This window comes from Homo sapiens, chromosome 5 (genome assembly GCF_000001405.40).
Source record: "Homo sapiens chromosome 5, GRCh38.p14 Primary Assembly".
NCBI lineage: Eukaryota > Metazoa > Chordata > Mammalia > Primates > Hominidae > Homo > Homo sapiens.
Genome location: NC_000005.10, coordinates 170,020,079 through 170,038,832, shown reverse-complemented (window position 1 = coordinate 170,038,832; position 18,754 = coordinate 170,020,079). Strand labels below are relative to the sequence as shown.

The following is an 18,754-nucleotide window of genomic DNA, read 5'->3' as shown; positions in this document are numbered from 1 at the left end:
CTTCCCTGCTACTTTCAACTCCTCCTTTGGCACCCTCTCCTCTTCCTTGTTAACTCAAGGGTCTGATGATCTGCTACAGAACCCAAAAGAAGGCACCCTAGTAAAAAGAAGACGTCCCTCAACCAGGGATACCAAACTCAAGCACCTCCAGATGGCAGGTGCTTGAGCGAGGTGGACGGGGAGTAGCACAGTAGGGAATAGAGATGATGTCGTGATGACAGTGCTCCAGGCCTGTCCAGAATGGCTGCCACCACCCGGTTCGGCTAACAGTCGTCAGAATAGGACGAGGGCCCAGTGTTGTCACACCTTCTGAGTTTTCCAGGAGAAAAGGGAAATTTTGATTTTTATGTAAAATCTCCAGATTTTTAAATGTTGGCAGCCAATTAAAAATGTTTTTAAATATTCTGCCTGCCAAACAGAACAGATTTTCAGACTATACCCTGTTTGCAGTCTGGTTTAGATAAATATGGTTTTCTTAGATTACTACGGGCCTCAAATCTCCAAAGCTTGTGGAGGTCTGGGATTTGCCGTCTGTGTTTCTAAAATGAGAAGGGGAGAAACAAGGTTGGAGGGAGGAAACCATGTGGCAGCCATATTACCTATAGTACTTCATTTAATCCTCAAAACAGAAGGTAGGACGGAAACATTCTACAGGTAGGAAAACCTCAACCCAGAAAGATTGAGTAATTTATCCAAGGTTACAGAAAAAGTGAGGCAAGGACCGAGGTCCTTCAGACCCCAAAGCTTTGTGCTGCTACAATAAGGTATGACTAGTGATGTTATAAATATCCCAAACTCAGGACAACCTATAAAATTATTTTTCTCCAAATGATAGCTCCTATTTCTGGAGTAATGCTAAACTAGGTACCTAGATATATCTGCCGTAATAGCAGAGTGAGCGTAGACTTGAAGTTTCTGCCCTCTGACAGAATGTGACAAAAGCCCTGTAAATACCTTGCTCCTCAATCTTCTGGTTGACTCTACCTCAAGGGCTCCAGCCTCATAAGGATGTGCATAAAGGTATACGTCCAAGAATTTTGTTGTTGTGGCCGGACGCAGTGGCTCACGCCTGTAATCCCAGCACTTTGAGAGGCCAAGGTGGGTGGATCACCTGAGGTTGGGAGTTCGAGACCAGCCTGGCCAACATGGTGAAACCCCGTCTCTACTAAAAATACAAAATTAGCCAGGTGTGGTGGTGCAGGCCTGTAGTCTCAGCTACTCGGGAGGCTGAGGCAGGAGAATCACTTGAACCCGGGAGGCAGAGGTTGCAGTGAGCTGAATAGGCACCACTGCACTCCAGCCTGGGCAACAAGAGCGAAACTCTGTCTTTAAAAAAAAAAAAAAAAAAAAAATTTGTTTTTGTGCTTTTTATTGTAGAAAAAGTTGGAAACAATCTAAATGTTCAACAATATAGGATTGGCTATATAAATGATGATATATTCTGGAAAAAATTTTATAGTTTCATTAAAAATGATGTTGATATACATCTGTCAACATGGAGTTCTTGTCAAGTTAGAAAAAGCAAAGAATAAATTACAAGTAATATAAACCCATTTTTGCAAAAAATATGCATGCATAGAATTCAATGTATATATAAATATAAAAAAGTCCTGGAAATATGTATGGATTATGGGAATTTATTTCATTTGTTGTGTTGCTTGCCCATATTTTATAAGTTTATTTTTGTTTTGTAATAAGTATATATTTTTTATTATAAATAAAAGTAACAATAATTTTTAAATTGCAGAAAAAAATATGAGATTCTGAGAAAAACTGGCAAAGGAGTTCTTTGCTTCAGGCTAATGTCCCCAAAAAACCTTCATGATATATTCAAATAATATCATTTAAATGCCTACAAGGATGCAGATATCATGCATCTTAGTATCTTTTTTTTCCCTTCAAAACTGGGCTAGTCAATGGTCTTACTACATGTCTGGACTCAGGCTTCACAGTAATTTATCCAAGGTCAGGCCCGCAACAATGCAAATGCACCCCAACAGTTCAAATCACAAAGTATTCACTCTTAAGGAAAATATGATCTGTGGGAACAACAGGACAGCATGGAAGGCCAGACGATTTCACGTGGTTTTATGGGGCTGACTGTGGGAGAATGAAAGGAATTGAATCTGGAGAAATTGACAGGAATCAGAACACAGAGGGCCTGAATGTCAAGAAGAGAAGTTTAAATTTTATCCTGAAGGCAGCAGGGAGCCATCGATGGATACTGAGCAGGAAAGTGACACAGCAGGTCTGGATTTTAGAAAATATGAATCTTACCTTATGTACATCTCCTCCCTGTTGTTATCTTTGTAGAAATTCTAGGTAGGGGAGGAAAAACAATGATGAGTGTTGTTCTCTGCAATATCACAGCGGTCAAGGGTGTGGTGATGAAGATGAGAGGAAGATTGCTGTCTAGTATCTGGGTACCCTGAGATAGGAATAAGAAACTTATTTTCCTGGATGCCCCAAAGATGCATCAAACAGCCTAATTGGAAGATTCTGCTTTGAAAGTCACTTCCCTGACCCTTAGACTATAAAGGAACAGAGAGGACTTGATGTGTCTCAGCCATCACATATCAGGAGGGGCAGTTCAGTGTTTTGCTGCATTGAGAGGTGGGCTGCCAAGACTGGGGTAGTCTACTTTAACCAGGCCCACATTGAAAGGCAGCCCAGCTTGATGTTTCAAAGCTCAGGCCTTGCACTGGAAAGAACCTGAGTTGGAAAGTGAGTGGTAGCACCTCGGTAATAGTAAGAGATCAGAATTCCTGATAGTGCAGAACTATCAGGAATTATATGGGATTCTGTCGCCAAAACATTTAAACTTGGCAATACGTAGGAATCTAGGTCCCTATTCCAGCTCAGGGGCCATTTAGATTAGTAGCTGCCCTGGACTTCACCACCAGAGATCCTAATCCTGTGGCATTTTTTAAACAAGTCCCTACAGATTCTGAGCCAGGTGGTCCTGGTCCAATCCATGAGCCACACCAGGTGTATATCCTGGTTTAATGCAGCACACCCACGTGCACCTGAGGGTCAGAGAAGGGTGGTGACATGTTCCAGAGCACACAGTCAATGGGTGGCAAATCATACTGGACATCATTTGTCCTGATACCACCTCCATCCCCACCCTCCTCCTTGACACCATATTTAAGCAATGCACTAAAAACTAGTGGTGTCTCAGTGCTTGGAGAACTGTCTGTCCCAAGCATTCTCCCTGATCTTAGCTGGCTGTTAAAGGTCACTTTCCTCAACCAACTCTGTCTCTCCTTAGAGAGAAGCTGCTCAGCTCGTGGAAAACACCTCTTCATGATCTTTATGTAAACTGGGCCTGGTGGAGTTATTAGCAATGAATTCCTTTCTGCTGTCATCGGGATTTTTAAACTCTCCTTGGCATTCTAGAAAATCAATGGCAATATCTAGGCTGTTGAAAAAAAAAGTCTATTTAGGGTAAAGGGAGGCCACACAACAGAGCTCTGGGGACAGGTTTTGTGTTTCAGGAGCCTTGGGAATGGTAGGGAGGTTGATGTGATGGATGTCACGTGGCCTTTTGGTCAACTTCATTCTTTTAAACCACTTTAAGGTGGGATGACACGGTGAATATGAAGCATTATGGCTGCTTACCTACCTGTCTCCTGGTCGAATCACAGAGCGTGTGAGAGAGGCTGCTTGGCAGCCAGCCCATGGGAGCTCATGGAATATAGGGGTTAAGAACTTGGGTCTGGGGTTAGCTTCTCTGGTTAACCTGGTTCATAGTAACAGCAATTCTAGTTATTAGTGTGACTCCATTCTATAAGAAGAAGGAAACTAATACGTAGTGAGCATTTAACCATGGGCCAGGGCAACACAACCTAATGAAATTGGAACCATTATTTTCTCCATGTAATAGATAAGCAAACTAAGACTTCAGAACATTTCCTTAGCTTGTCCATCCCATTAATTATCAGATATAGGATGGAAACCCAGAGGCTGTGTGACTCCAAAGCTCATACTCTTAGCCAGTCTATACTGTCATCTTCCTTCCATGTGATGTGTTGAGTGCTAAAGGGAATATGCATTAATCTCATGTTATAAATAAGGAGGCAGGCATAGAAAGGTGAAGTGACGGCCTCAAGACACAAAGCTAGCAGAAAGCGCAGCAGACGTTCCATTCCACATTTGTCTGCTTTCCAAAGCCCTTAAGCACTGCTTCCCTATGAAGAACAATCGTGAGACCCAAAGCCAAGCCCAAGCCCCCCCACAGGGTTCTGGTCTGACTTGGACCCGCCAGCCCCACGCACCAGCAGGTTCACGGTGCAGCTCATGCGGTTGTCTTTGCTCTCATCTGTCATCACACCCCGGTAATCCAGCAGCTTCTCCAGGAGGCCTTTGACCAGGTTCACGAAGTTCTCCACCGACTTGGCAATGGTTGGGTGCTCTGCAGCACATTCCATCAGGCTGCGGCAGAGACCAGAGGGCAGTGAGCTCATGGCTGGGGAGAAAGACTGTGCTGGGGCCAGTGGGCGGTGGGATGGAGCACATGCAAAATCAGTCAGTCAACCCAAGTTCCCTGACTGCTCCTTTTGTTCATTTATTCATGTATTTATCCATATAGTGCAGCAATTTTTTTTCTAACATCAGAATGGGAAAAAATAAAAATAAAATAGTTTCCAATATAGATAATGATGGTGGGGGAGATGGTCACTTTTACCCACCCCTGCTGAGAATAAATCAAGAAAACTTTTTTGGGGAAGCAATTTTCAAAGTATCTGTAAAAATTGTAAATGCACATATCCTCTGACCCCACAACTCTACTTTGCAGAATCTGTTCTACAGAAATATTCTCAGAAGTATGCAAAGATATAATACTCACAAATGTGTCTAATAGTGAAATAGATGGAACCATCTTAAATGCTCATCAATTGGGAAAGGCCTAAATAAATTACAGTATATTCACCAAATGGAATTCTATGAAGACATTAAAAATATTGGAGAGATTCAATATGTCTGGGCATGAAAAGCTCTATAAAATATAGAGCTAGGTGAGAAAAGTAAGTCTCAGAACAATATTTGCTTTTCACTTAACCAACTAACATAGAGCTTAGCATGGCCAGGGTGTTATTCTAAACCTCATGCAAATGGTAACTCATTTAACCTCCTGTCACAATTTTATGAGATGGGACTTTTGTAGATAGGGAAACGAAGGCATGGAGAGGTCCACTAAGCTGTCCAAGGTCACATGGTCAGGAATATCAAAAAGTCTGGCCCCAGCATCCGTGTCTCTACTGCCGAACACTGCATGTGTGTGCAAGTGTACATGGCCATCATGTGTCTCTATGTGCTTATAAAGTGCCATGTACAGTCAGCAAGGATAGACACCAAACTCGTAGTGATGGCTGTTTCCAACAAGGCTTTAGGTGGGAAAATAGGAAAGAAAAGCCTCCATTTTTCTATTTAAGTATGTGTAAATTATTTTTTAAAATTATAATATTTGTTTTAGTATTTATATTCTAAATTTTAAAAACAAAAATAAAAATGTAACATCTTTAAGCATCTATTAGTTGCTAGGCATTGTGTGGTAGAGAGAAAGACATCAATATAGAAAAGAACCACACCTACTGTCTGGCAGCCCACAGACTAGGTGGGGAGAAACAGATGGGTTAAAATTTTGTTTGATGACTATTTCTTCTTAATTACTTATTCTGTGCCAGACACTGTACTAGTCACTTTTCTTAAGAAATCCTCACAGTAATTCTGATAAGTGAGAATTATTTCCCCCATTTTGCAGGTGAGAAAATGAAGGCTGAGAAAGATTAAAGGACCTTCCCAGTATCAGTGTGATAGTAAGTTGAATCAAGCCAATCATTGTTAAATTTAGGGGAGATATTTTTCCCACAGAGAAACACCAGAGCGTGTTCCCAGGTATCTCAAGTAGACATTATGCAGGCCACGTGATTTGTATCTGTCTACTCTCCCCATGGAACTGAAACTCTCCAGGGGCCCTTAGGAGGGTAAAGGTAAGAAAAGCAAGGACTTCTGAGGGTCATTTCCTCCAAGAAGCCAAGCCAAGCTGCAAGAAGGCGACGTCTCAAACTGTGGCTGTGATAAGACAAATCCATCTTCACTCTGGGAGAAGCACCTGTTCCCTGGCTCTCAATGGGAGATGCAAATGGCCCTGTGATTTAGACCTGTCTGGCTCAGCCACAGCTGTGCATGCCTCCTCCTGGGACAGTCACTTCTAGCCCTGTGTGCCACCCTAATGACAATGCAACAAAGCTTCTTCCCAGTGTTTGGTGTGTGATTTTTTAAAGCTTTCCAGGGCAGGAGACATCTCGGGGTCTGAGCTTGGCCAGACCTGAGGTTCTCAGCCCTGGTCACATGATAGAATCACCAGGGGAGCTTTTACAAAGCCCAATGCTCAACTTAGGTCAATAACCTTAGAATCTTTGAGGGTGGGACCCAGGCAGCAGTATTTTATTGTTTACATTCTCTAGGAGATTCCAACATGGAACTAACATTAAGAACAACTGGGGCCAGGCGCGGTGGCTCACACCTGTAATCCCAGCACTTTGGGAGGCCGAGGTGGGCAGATCACGAGGTCAGGAGATAGAGACAATCCTGGCTCCCACGGTGAAACCCCATCTCTACTAAAAATACAAAAAATTAGCCGGGCATGGTAGTGGGCGCCTGTAGTCCCAGCTACTTGGGAGGCTGAGGCAGGAGAATGGTGTGAACCCGGGAGGTGGAGCTTGCAGTGAGCCGAGATCGCGCCACTGCACTCCAGCCTGGGCGACAGAGCGAGACTCCGTCTCAAAAAAAAAAAAAAAAAGAACAACTGGTTTTGTCCAAGACTTTGCAAACTTCCATGTGCATGGGGATCACTGGGGCATTGTGTTAATAGATTCTGATTCATCACATCTGGGCTGGTTCCTGAGCAGCTGCCTTACTAACAATCTCCCAGGTGATACCAGTGCTGCGGGTCAATGGACCACACTTGGAGAAACCAGGGTTTAGAAGAAAAAGGTCTTGGCTTTCTTTCTTTTCCTATTCTTTATGCATGGAGCAAGAAAGGTGCTCAAACCATCTAGGATTGGTGAAATGGATGGGAAAATTGGCTAGAAATGACCCATCCATCCACTATCCATCCTTCCACTCAACATGTGGCATTCTAGAAACTAGGGATTCAGAGTTCCAGGAGATCACAGTCTAGCATGGGAAACATAGATAAAAATTAACCATAATATATAATGATACTACCACTTATTGAGTACTTCCTGTGTTCCAGACCGCATGCTAAGCCTGTTTAATTGTTTACCTTGTAATCCCACAACAGAGTATGACAAAAGCTTTGGGAATCATAAGAAAATATAGGTAATTCCTCACGCAGTGGAATGAAGGGTGGTGGACACTTGCCACACTGCTTCTGCTCCTGTTGTGGGAGGACTAGAGGGGGCTCACTCCTCCCTGCAGTTGATTTTCACTTGGCATTGGAGGCTTTTAGAGGGAGGATCCCAGACTCCCCCTCTCTGTCAGTGCTAATGAAACTGGACTTTCTTTCATTCCTTGAAATGAAATGAAATGACCTGTGACAGGTCCTTTTCCAGGGATTGAAAGGGTCTGGGTAGGATAAAGGCCCAAGAACATACATCTATCTGCTTCAACCTTCCGATTCCCTCACCACTTCTAGAACTATTCGCAGGAATGAAATACAGAAAGGCAGCGGTGTGTCTTATGAATCCATTCAATGTGAGACTTACACTTTCAGATATACGTGGATCAATGAGCGTGGGCTCCAAAGAGAGCTCTGAGGGTAGGGAGAACTGGAGTGCTGTGTAAGGTTATATAGCTTGTGCACTGCGCAGAGCACATGAGGACTGAAATTCAGCCCCACTCCATGCCTTAAACCTTGTGTTCCTATGCAAGGCTGCAGTTGCCACAGGGGGAGTAGCTCTGCTCTATTCACCAAGGCCCCATCCAAGCCATGTGCCCACAGGACTGTATCTGCCCAGTGGGGGCCCTGTGTATCAGTGAGGCCCTGAAAGAGGGGCTGGGAGGAAAGGCTGGAGGAACTGAGATGACTAGCCTAGGGGAGAAAAGATAGGCAGGCTCATGGCTTCAAAAACCCGCAATGCTATCCACCTGTAAGTAATACAAATTGACTGTCCTCTATGTGAAAATGTGAAATTCAAACTTTCTGAGCACTAACATGACACTCAAAGGAAATGCTCACTGGAGCATTCTGGATTTTGGATTTTCAGACTAGGGACACTTAACTATTAAGTATAATTATTTCAAAATCTGAAAAACAAATCCCAAATCCAAACTACTTCTCGTCCCAAGCATTTCAGATAAGGCCTAATCAATCTGTACTACTAATAATTAATATTGCTAGACTCCCAACAAAAACTCTAAGGGCTCGATAATATTTTATCCCCAATTTTCAGATAAGAAAACTGAGACTCAGAGAGGTGAAAGGATGGAGCAGGCACAGGGGCCCCATGGATGTTCTGATGGGGACCTGGCTCCCTGTGTCGGGCTTGATTTGTTTTGTGCAAAAATCATTCACACCTCTGTTTCAGGAGAAAAATAATGAGCTGTCTTTAATTTCTTTGACCTCTAAGGACTCCTTTTATAAATAATCACTCAGGAAGGATTTGAAAACCCTGCTGATCATCTGAAGACCGCCGCAGAGCCCCATCCGCTTATAAAAATGGAAATTGCCAGCACTGTACATTGCTTCACTTCTGGTCAATATTTTGATTTTCTTGTTTAGAACTTTAAGATAAACACTGACTCAGCCAGAATATTGTTTATTCCCCCCAGATACATCAGTCTCCATATCCACCTGAGGGGCAGACAGTGGGTTTCTCCTTCTGGCCAAATGGCATTTGCATTCTAAGTGTTTAGTGAGGGCCATGCATGGTGACAGGAAGGGGACAGGGGCCAGCTGAGATGGCACTGCCTGGGGCGCCATCCTGTCCTCTGGGCTCTGCCTGCTTGGGCAGGGTCGAGAGGCTCATTGTAGGGGGTCAGAGCAAGGCCTTCAGTTTGCCTTTCTTATTGAATTTAAAACATTCAAAAAGGATTGAAGAAAGAATCCAAACCAGAGTGATCTCAGAGAATTATAGAAATCAGAGAATATGCACTTAGCGAGAAGTGGGGATGTCTGGGTCATGTTCCTAAGCCTTAGGAGAAGGCCTCGCGGGAGAAGGGGGCAATTACCAAGCTGTCAAAGACAGAAACTGGGAGCAAGTCCTGGAGATGGAAGAATATTTATGAAGCATTTACCTGCTGTGTGCCAGATGCTTTATAATTATTCAGTTCTCACAATAACCACAGGAGCTTATTATTCCCATTTCAGAAATGGGGATACTGAGGCCAGACTCATGTGATTTGTGTGAAGTCTTGCAGCTGCTAAGTGGTAGAGCCAGGATCAAAACCCAATGTCTTTCTCCAAAGATATACAAGCGACCCATAAGCACATGGAAAGATGCACAGCCCTGTGAGTGTACTGAAAATCAATGAATTCTACACATCGCGGAAATGCAATTCAAAACCACAATGAGATATCATTTTACACCCGCTGGGGTGGCTGTAATCAATAAGACAGATATTAACAAGTGTTAACAAGAATGTAGAGAAATTGGAACCCTTATACATTGCTGGTAGAAATATATATGGAGCTGCCACTTTGGAAAATAGTCTGGTTATTCCTCAAAAGGTCAAATATAGGTGCCGTATGATCCAGCAATTCAATTTCTAGGTATATACCCCAGAGAACTGTAAACGTTATGTCCACACAAAAACTTGTACCTGCATGCTCACAGAAGAATCAATACGAATAGTAAAAAAGTAGAAACAGCCTAAATATACATTAACTGAGAGATGAATAAACAAAATGGGGTACATCCATATGGTACCAAATATTTTAATTACCAAATATTATTTGGCAATTAAAAGGCATTAAGTACTGAAACATGCTACAACATGGATGAACCTTGAAAACATTATAGGCAAGACAAAATGCAGAGTAATGGTGGCCTAGGGCTAGGGGAGATGGGGGAGTGTTTGGGTGTGTGTGCGCACGCGTGTGTGTGTGTGTGTGTGTGTGTGTGTTGGCAGAGCAGTGGCTAAGGGGTGCAGGTTTGCTTTTTAGGAGTAATGAAAATGTTGTAAAATTGATTGTGGTGATGGTTACATAGCTCTGTGAACATACTAAGAGTCAATGATTGTACACTTTGGGTAAATTGTATGGCATGTAAATTACATCTCGATAAAGCTGTTAAAATGATGTCCTGACTCCAAGTCCAGTGGTCTTGGGCACTGTTCTCTGTCCACTGTCTGCCCCTGGCCTGGACACTGGAGTCAGGCAGAGCCAGGTTCAGGATGCAGCTTGTCCACCCCACTAGCTCGTCCTAGTTTCCTTGAACAATGTGCTTACTTCCCTCAGCCTCAGGGCCCACCTCTGTGAAATGGGCATCAAAGGGAGTAAGTGTGATTAAAGGAGGGATTACACAGCACATTGCACAATAGCATGCTAAGTTATTAAGTGTGCTCAGTAAACGTAGGGCATGACCAACATCTGTCAAAAATTTAAATAGAAGGAAAAATAGCAATCACATTCCACAGTTAAGAAGTAATGAAAGTAGACATTTTGGTAAATTATTTCCCTCTTCCCAACACAGCAAAGATTCTTTTCACCTGGCCCATTCTATCAGTTCCAAAGAAATGGCCACTCCAGAGAGAAATGTGAGGTTTCTTCCAAAAATGGAGTTTTGCCAATACCCATGAGCCTCTAGATCCATCTCCAGGGGAGGACAGAGCCACTCGGAGCCCCCTGGAGTTCTGAGCCCTCCCGCCTCACCTGACCTTCACAGGCTGTTCCTACACACAGGGCACTGAACTTACATTGACTCCAGGAGCTGCATGTACTGCTCGTCGCCTCGGCCCCCTTCTACCTCGTGGTCCAGCTTCAGGATGATTTCGTTTTCAAACTGAAGATGTAGGAGACAAAAATCAACAATAACATCAGAAGGCTGAGGGCTGAAATTAGTCAATTCATTATTTCAACCAAAGCTTTAGGGAGCACTCTTTATCTCCCAGGTTGAGTGCTGGGATCTGGGAATGCAAAATGGAACAGAATACTATGTCTGCCTTTTTGGAGTGCCCAGAGAGTGAAGGGGAGCCATGGGTGATAACTGCTAGAGAGAGAGAGAGAGAGCACGTGCGAGAGAGCGCGAGTGCAGGAGAGGGAGAGAGGGAGGAGAGTCAGGGAAGACTTTTCACAACTCATGTTATTTGAGCTTGTTTTCAAAGGTTAAATAGAAATTTCGCAGAAACAGAAAAAGGGAAAGGACATTCCAAGAAGACAGCACCACATGTGCACAGGCATGGAGATATGTGACAGAACACAGAATCTTCAGGGAATGCCATGTTTCCTGGTCAGCTATTGTTTCTGCCCACTTGGCATTCCTTCATTCCTTTCTCCATATTTTGGTGATCACACCAGTCCTAACCACAGTCCTTGGGGCTCTGGTGGGCTGAGCATCCCTCCCTAGTTCCAGATGTGGAAACCTGACACAAGCCTAGCTCCTAATCCGAATATTTCATTGCCCAGGTCCCAGAATTAATAAAGGTCTGGACTGAGACAGTGAGACCCTAAATCTGAGGCTTTATTGGACCTCTTAGCAAAATGAGTCTTTTTGCTCAAGCTGAAGATGGAAGGTTGTGAGCCTCAGGCTGCTGCTGACCACAATGAACGAGTCTGTCTGAGAATTACACCAATACAGGGCAAGCAGAGAGGGGAAGATACAGAGAGACAGAGACCTGATGCCATTTGTGAGCCCCTGCATTCAGCCACACCTGACACTTTCCCATTCATATGAGCTCATCTGTGTATATATCAGCCAGTTTGAATTGGAGTTTTGTTCCCTGCAACCAAAGAAATGATGAAAAATACTCATAAAACATGGAGCAAATGTCAGGTCTCAGAGAGTCAAGACTGGTGACAATGGTAATGATCAGAGATCAGATTAGGTAAGTGATCAGAAAGCAAGTATCCATTTACAGTTCCACCAAATCTTGTTGCATTGAAGCCACAGAATGCTTTGTCTCCCTACTTTCCATGTTAAGAAGCATTTCACCCACTGGAGTGCATGGCTTATTCAACGCATTGTTTTGAAGTCACCCAACGTCTTTTTAACATGATTTTGTTGCAAAATGGTTTTTACTATTTTAGTATTATACCCTGAAGAGTCCATCCAAATCATGCAGTCCACCCTTCCCTCATTTTACCATTAAAAAATAAACTGGCACCTGGAGAGGGAAAGGGGAGCTTCGCAAAGGTCACCAAGACCAAAAGAGGACTTGGGGAGTCCTGACCTCTAACTTGACCTCTTTACACCCGGTCTTCATAATACTTCATGAAGTCTGGAGGTCACGGATCACCTTTAAATGTGACAATGCATGAAGAGCAGCCAGCCCTTGCTTGGTACAACCCTCGGTGTCAGTTATTATTACGGATGAAGAAGTAGAGGCTCAGGGAGTTTAAGTGACCTGTCTAAAGTCTTAGATGAATGGCAGAGACCTTTGGCAGGCTCTTTCCTGGGCATAAAGGATAGAGCTCCATGGAGTTGGAATCTTTAGGTGATGAAAAGGCAGGGACCACATTTGCTCTTCCCTCTGGTTCACACATCATCCGTGATGCCATCGTTCCCTCACTTTTGTGCACAAAGGATCTAAGGGAGGGACCAAAAGCTTGTGCTGATACAGCACAAATGCCAAAGAATTTCCGGTGAGTTGCCTCAGTTGGGGAAGACTTATTGAAGGAGATATACCGGGCCTGGAAAAATGGGTAGGACTGTGATAAATGTGAAAAGGAAGGCATTCCAGATGGGGGAAACGGTGTGAGCAAAGCTGTCGAGGTGGGAACGTGGAGAAAAATGAAGACAGCAGTTCAGCTTGAGCAGAGAAGAATGGATGGACGGACAAATGGAAGGAAGGAAGGAAAGAAGGAAGGAAGGAAGGAAGGAAGGAAGGAAGGAAGGAAGGAAGGAAGGAAGGAAGGGAGGGAAGGAGGGAGGGAGGGAGGGAGGGAACAGACACCTAGATGAGACCCAGTGTGGCAAGAGTCTAGACTGCCAGTCTGCAAATGAATCACGTCCCTTCTATGGTGCATCCTGTCAAGCATTATGTCTGTGTTGAATATTATCCAATGTCAAGGGTTGGGGACTATCATGCTTAGAGATGTCTTCTCTGCCAAGCCTAGAGCAGGAAGAAATACAGCTAAGGGGCTATACAATGAGTCTGCTGTGCGGCTGTCTGGCTTTAAATCCCTCACCGCTTCCCTCTGCCATCTTGGGAAAGCTGGTAGGTCTTTCTAATCCTCAGGGTCAGGATTTAGATCAGGGACTGGCAAACATTTCCTGTAAAGGGCCAGACAGTAAATAATTTAGGCTTTGGAGGCCAGATGGTCTCTGTGACAACTACTGAACTCTGCTGCTGTAGCACAAAACCAGCCCTAGACAACACATACACAAATTGGCATGGCTGTAGTCCAATAAAAGTTTATTTACAAAAGCAGGTGGAAGGATGGATTTGGTCTGTGGGCCAGAGTTTGTCTACCCCTTATCAATACAATGGGCATAACAGTAGTACCTACAGTGTGGAGTAGCTATAGGGCACAGAGATTTTATATGTAAAGCACTAGCAAAGTGCCTAACATTAAGTGTGTGCTGTGTCCCTCGACTTGTCATCACCACTAATGTTATTGTTATTACTGCCGAATGTTACTAGAAAGCAGCGCAGGGGGAGAAAAGTGCATTTTTTCTTGTCTGAGTGGTTCACTGGGAAATGCTGGCATGATTCTTCCTGGTGAGCTGAACTTTTCTTTGGAGCACAGAAGTGGTTGAGGTAAATAAGCACTTGTCTCAGGATCACAAAAGAGCCTGCCAGGAGGGAAATTACAGGGTTCCAGGGAGTGTGTGAGACAAATGATACCATACCACCATGCCTGAGCCCTTGGGGTGAGCTGGAGGGGTAAGGTCTCAGTCAGGCATATCCCAGGGTCAGTACTGTGCTCAGAAATGGCTATGCTCACAGTCTGTGGCATTGAATAGACTTGGTTTGAGTCTTGCTTTGACTTTTTTCCCAGCCCTGTGACCTTAGCCAAGTTAATAAACATTTCTAAGGCTTAATGTGCTCATCTATTAAATGGAGATTTGAAATAGCATCTCCTTCATAGTGGTACTGTAACAAATTAAAGGGCAAACACACGTATAAGGCACTTGGCACATAGTAAGTGCTCAATAATTGTTAGCAAAGCTCATCATGCTATTGTCATTGTCATCATCATAGGCATCATACTCTCATTTAATCTTTACAACAGCCAAGGGAGAAGAATGTCATCATCCCCATGTTACAAATGAGGAGGCTGAGGCAACGTAGGACCTTGGGTGACAGAGTGTAAGACTCTGTCTCAAAAAAAAAAAAAAAAAAAAAGGCTCTCCCAAACATACACTCCATCATGATGCTGCAACAGTCCTTACCCCCAACACTGTCACCATCCAGAGTTGAGGATGTAGCTCTGGCTTCTCCAAATTACTTCCATTTTCATCCACAGCTACATGACTGCATCACATCATTGACTCCTTACCCCACTGCTGCGAGGTGGATGTTTGCTAATGAGTATCCACAGATTTGTATTGAGCCACTACAGAAGTCAGATTCTACAGAGGCCCAATACAAATCTTGAGAAGCTCTAATCGAGAAAGGAGGAGTGGACTCCAGGAGCCCAAACCTTCTGCCTGGGCCTCCCTCTTCCAGGAGACTGGCCTGATATGGGCCTCGTGTTTGCTTCATGCCTTCCCTGCATTGCTTCTCTTGCCTCTCCTGGCTGCTTTAGAATATCTTGGCTATTTTTATCATCTTGTTCTCCTAGAATGTTTTCTGATTGGAGTCCAGCCCTGTAGAAGTATGAGATTTGGGGAGTGATTGCTCTTCCTCACACGTCTGGTGCTGACATTGACATGGGAAGAGCAGAGATGTTATTAGAGGCCTGGATGTCAGGAAGATGACAAGGATGACATCAACACCAGTAAGTCTGCCTTTGACCTCCTCTGTTATGAAATGCCAGTTATCCTGGGTGGAAAGAAGTAGAGTTGGGAGGAACCTGGAAAAGAGAATGTCACGTGAGAAGGGGTGTCTGGAAGTCAGCGCGGCTTTCTAATTTTGAGTTGTCTCTAATCGTTCCAATTCATCCCCCAAAAGAGCTTGGGATGGGAACCTCTAATGGCAGTTGGATACCCACTTTACAGATGAAGAAGCTGAGGCTGAGAGAGGTTAAATAACTTACCCACATTGATTCAGCTTATAAGAAGTAGGTCTATCTGAATCCAAACAACAGTACCGAGAACGCAGCAAGCACTCAGTACAGATTTATTGAATTGATGTAATCTTTTCCACATTATGTTCTAAACAATTTAAATCACCAGCTTACTCCACGCCAAGATGCAGTCTCAGTGGAATCTGCTAACATGGCTATCTCCGTCTATTAATTAATTCAATGAGCAAAGATTGAGCTCCTACGGTGTTCAGGCACTGTTCTAGGTGCTGCTGTCAGATGCTATCCCCTCTTCTTTCTCTGAGAGAAGAATTCTCTCTGGGATCTCCTGCCTGCTGAGGGCTCAGATCCCCATGCTGACTGGTACACAGTCCTGTTCTACAATCTGCATCTAGCCAACCAGTCTCCAAGGTCTCTATACCCCAGGACTCCCACTCATTCCCACCAATAGCATCCAGAACACCTACATCCCCTCTTTCCACAAAGAATTGGCCAGCAAGACAGCTGGTGTACTCGGGGCAAGGGGATTACTCAAGCAGTCATTAGCAACCCCCATTATTCTAGTTTATAAAAACATTTGCTGGAATGCACCTCCCTGTGCCGATGTGGTTCCCCTGAATGACATGGGATGGGGGTCTAAATGCCTCCATCCATTCATTCTGGGAACACTGACATTGTGCCCACCACGTGCATCTCAGGCACTTGACAGGGACTGGGAGTTCAGGACTGAGAGACCAGCTTTGGCCCTCAAGAGCTCACAGTCTGCTGTGGAACACAGACCTATGAGCAGGTAATTGTGCTGTGTGGGACAAGTGTGATGACCGCTCAATCCAGGCAGGATAGGATACGTTTCATTCTGACTAGCATGTGTCCTGGCCAAGCCGGCCACAATGGGGTCCACCTAAGGCCCTCTTGCTGAAACTGTCCTTCCACAACCCCACCAAGGGAATCATGTGGTGTACCAGGGGTGGGACATCCAGTCCTAGACAATGGACAGAGACCCCCGAGATGGTCTGGGATGAAGTGCTACACTCATGAGGGATAAATGTCATCAGTCAAACCCATCAGCTGTCTATGAAATTTGGGTGAGAGGTGAGACAGGGAAATCTGGCACAGAGCTTATAAAAGAAACCCAGAGCAGAGAAAGAGATTGCCCTGGGGTTGCCTCTTGTTCAGCCCCCAGAACCGTGAGCCACTGAGAGTCTAACACCTTCCTGTCCTAGTTCCAGCCTATGTATACTTGGCTTGAGAAAATCTTTGTCTCTTGTACCCAGATGAACCACTGCCCCAGGAGGCAGGAAAGCCTTTCCCAAAAAGTAAAGCCTCAGCTGAAGGGTGTCTAGGATCTCTTCAGGCAAAGATATAAAAGGAAGAGCCCATACAAAGGCATAAGAGCTAGAGAACTTCAAGAAACTGGCATCAGGCCAGAGGGTTTGGTATGACCTGGGAGCAAAGCCCCTGCTCAGTTTCCTCTTGGCTCTGCTATTTCCCTTAAGCAACCCACATTTTAGAGAGGGAACAATGTGGTCTTCTGGGGACCTGGTTCTTCTCTCATGGGATTATTTTGGCATCATGTACTAATGCCACTTTGCACACCAGCCCTCCTGGATTCTAGACCCCAGTATTGGGGTTCACTCTCGTTCTGGCCATCAAGGCTGCTTGGGATTCAGCAGGGATTCACCTCCCTTTCCTGGAGACACCTTCCATGACTGCTTACCCTGAACCAAAAACCATGCCTGGGCCGGCGTATCCCCGAGCTGAGCTCCTATGAAGCACGCCAGCTGGTTTTCACATGGGCATCTGCCTCATTAGTCAGCCTGATTGTCCTGTCTTTTTTGATAAGGGAGCTGCGAGGAGAAGTGATTAGGGAACATGCTCAGAATGAATGCACACTGGAGTGAGGAGCCCAAGGAATGACTCTATACGGAGAAAACAGGTGGGTGCATGCCACAGAGAAACCAAGATACGAGAATCCTTTAGGGAAGGAAAATCACACTAGAGTGAAACTCTCTGAGGCTGCCAAACATCTGTCAGGTCACAATCCAGGCAACGACCAGGTCTTATTTCTTTTTGGGACATTGTACACCATCAGGCACTTGGTGTGTTTCTTTTGCACACCTGTTCCCAGGAACTCTTCTAAGGCACCCGCTGGCCTCAGAAGTGGGTCTGAGGGTAAGTAAACTGCCCTTCGTCTCATGGCGTGTGCCCTTTACGTGGTCCCAAGCTGCACAGACCTTGCTCCCACTTAAAAGGCAGCAAATTCCAAGCTGCCTTCAAACACTCAATCCAAGCTTTCACCTTCCACTCCCCCTATCCCAACTGCTCAGATACGGCCTCTTTCTCCATTTGACCTACTCAGCCAGATTTCTTTACAGGCTCTTCACAAAAAGGCAGCTGGCCACTAGCCCTTCTGGCACTAGAGTCCCTATAATGCTACCTCTCACAGTGATATCATCATAGCAAACTAGTCTCTTATTCCTCTCAGAACAACTTTCTCCCATGTGAGATTAATAGGATGGAAAATCCAATAGATGTTTCTTGCACAAATAAATTTAAGAAATGACAGATCTGTTTGCCATGGAATGTCTCAGTGCCTTGACTCTATTAATATGCACTGGGAATCTCTAAGATGGGTTCCAATATGCAGTGATTTCCAAAGGTATTTAACCTTGAAACCCTCTTCCCTGGAGCATCTTGTTGGATCAGTGCTTCATGGACATATTTAGGGAAAGCACTGCTCTAGCAGATACCAATCAGCCAGTATTACTGGGAGATACTGGTGGCTGGATAGTACGGGTTGCAGCATGGGTTTAGGAATCGCAGTGACCTGCTTGCTGCAGCCTTTGTTCTGCTACTTTCTTGATTGTGACTTTCAGCAGATGACGTCAGCTTTCTAAGTCTCAGTTTCTTTTCATCTTTAAAGTGGGTAAGATAAGATAATGTTACCTACTTCACAGAGTTGTAGTTTAAAAAGACTGCATGAACTAATACATAGAAAATAGGTGTCATATGCCTGATATGTAGTAAATATCTAAAGTCAGTCATTATAATCATCATCATCATCATCATTAGATGCAGATGAGGAAGATGAAAAATGCACAGAAATGAGTATAAAGCAAGGCAGTAGATAATAGTCATACCTTAGACATCAAATAACAGGAATGGGGAGAAAAGACCTTCTAGGTGACATGGCATTTGGATGGGCTTCGCAGGATCAGTAAGAGTTTAGAAGGTGTTGAGAGGCAGGGTTGTGACTGTGCAGAGAAGTAGCAGAAAGAAAAAAAATGCCCGAAGGACACCCACAGAGGCAATGCCATTCAGGTGGGCTGCGGGGATGGTGGAGAAGAGGTAAGGCGGGGAGAGTTGGAGAGGATGGCTGAGACATTCTTCAGAAGGCTGGAGCCGGGAGGGCCGGGGATGCTGGCTAGAGGGTGTGGG

At 44.6% G+C, this 18,754-nt stretch overlaps 1 protein-coding gene and 1 non-coding gene across 3 annotated transcripts in view; both read right to left on the bottom strand.

Annotated features, from left to right (window-relative positions):
- The window catches only part of DOCK2 (dedicator of cytokinesis 2), a 446,108-nt gene that overhangs the window by 44,550 nt on the left and 382,804 nt on the right, over nt 1–18,754 (bottom strand). For both annotated transcript variants that reach the window (NR_156756.1, NM_004946.3), the window contains 3 exons: nt 10,885–10,970; nt 4,278–4,434; nt 2,278–2,318 (listed from right to left, as the gene is read on the bottom strand). Coding sequence is in view for 1 of the 2 variants with exons in the window: in NM_004946.3 (NP_004937.1) it covers nt 2,278–2,318; nt 4,278–4,434; nt 10,885–10,970 (284 nt within the window). In the remaining variant the exon portion in view is untranslated. The remainder of the gene's footprint in view (nt 1–2,277; nt 2,319–4,277; nt 4,435–10,884; nt 10,971–18,754) is intronic.
- On the bottom strand, nt 10,267–10,345 carry MIR378E (microRNA 378e). Its single transcript, NR_039609.1, has one exon. It is a non-coding gene; the product is annotated as a microRNA 378e (primary transcript).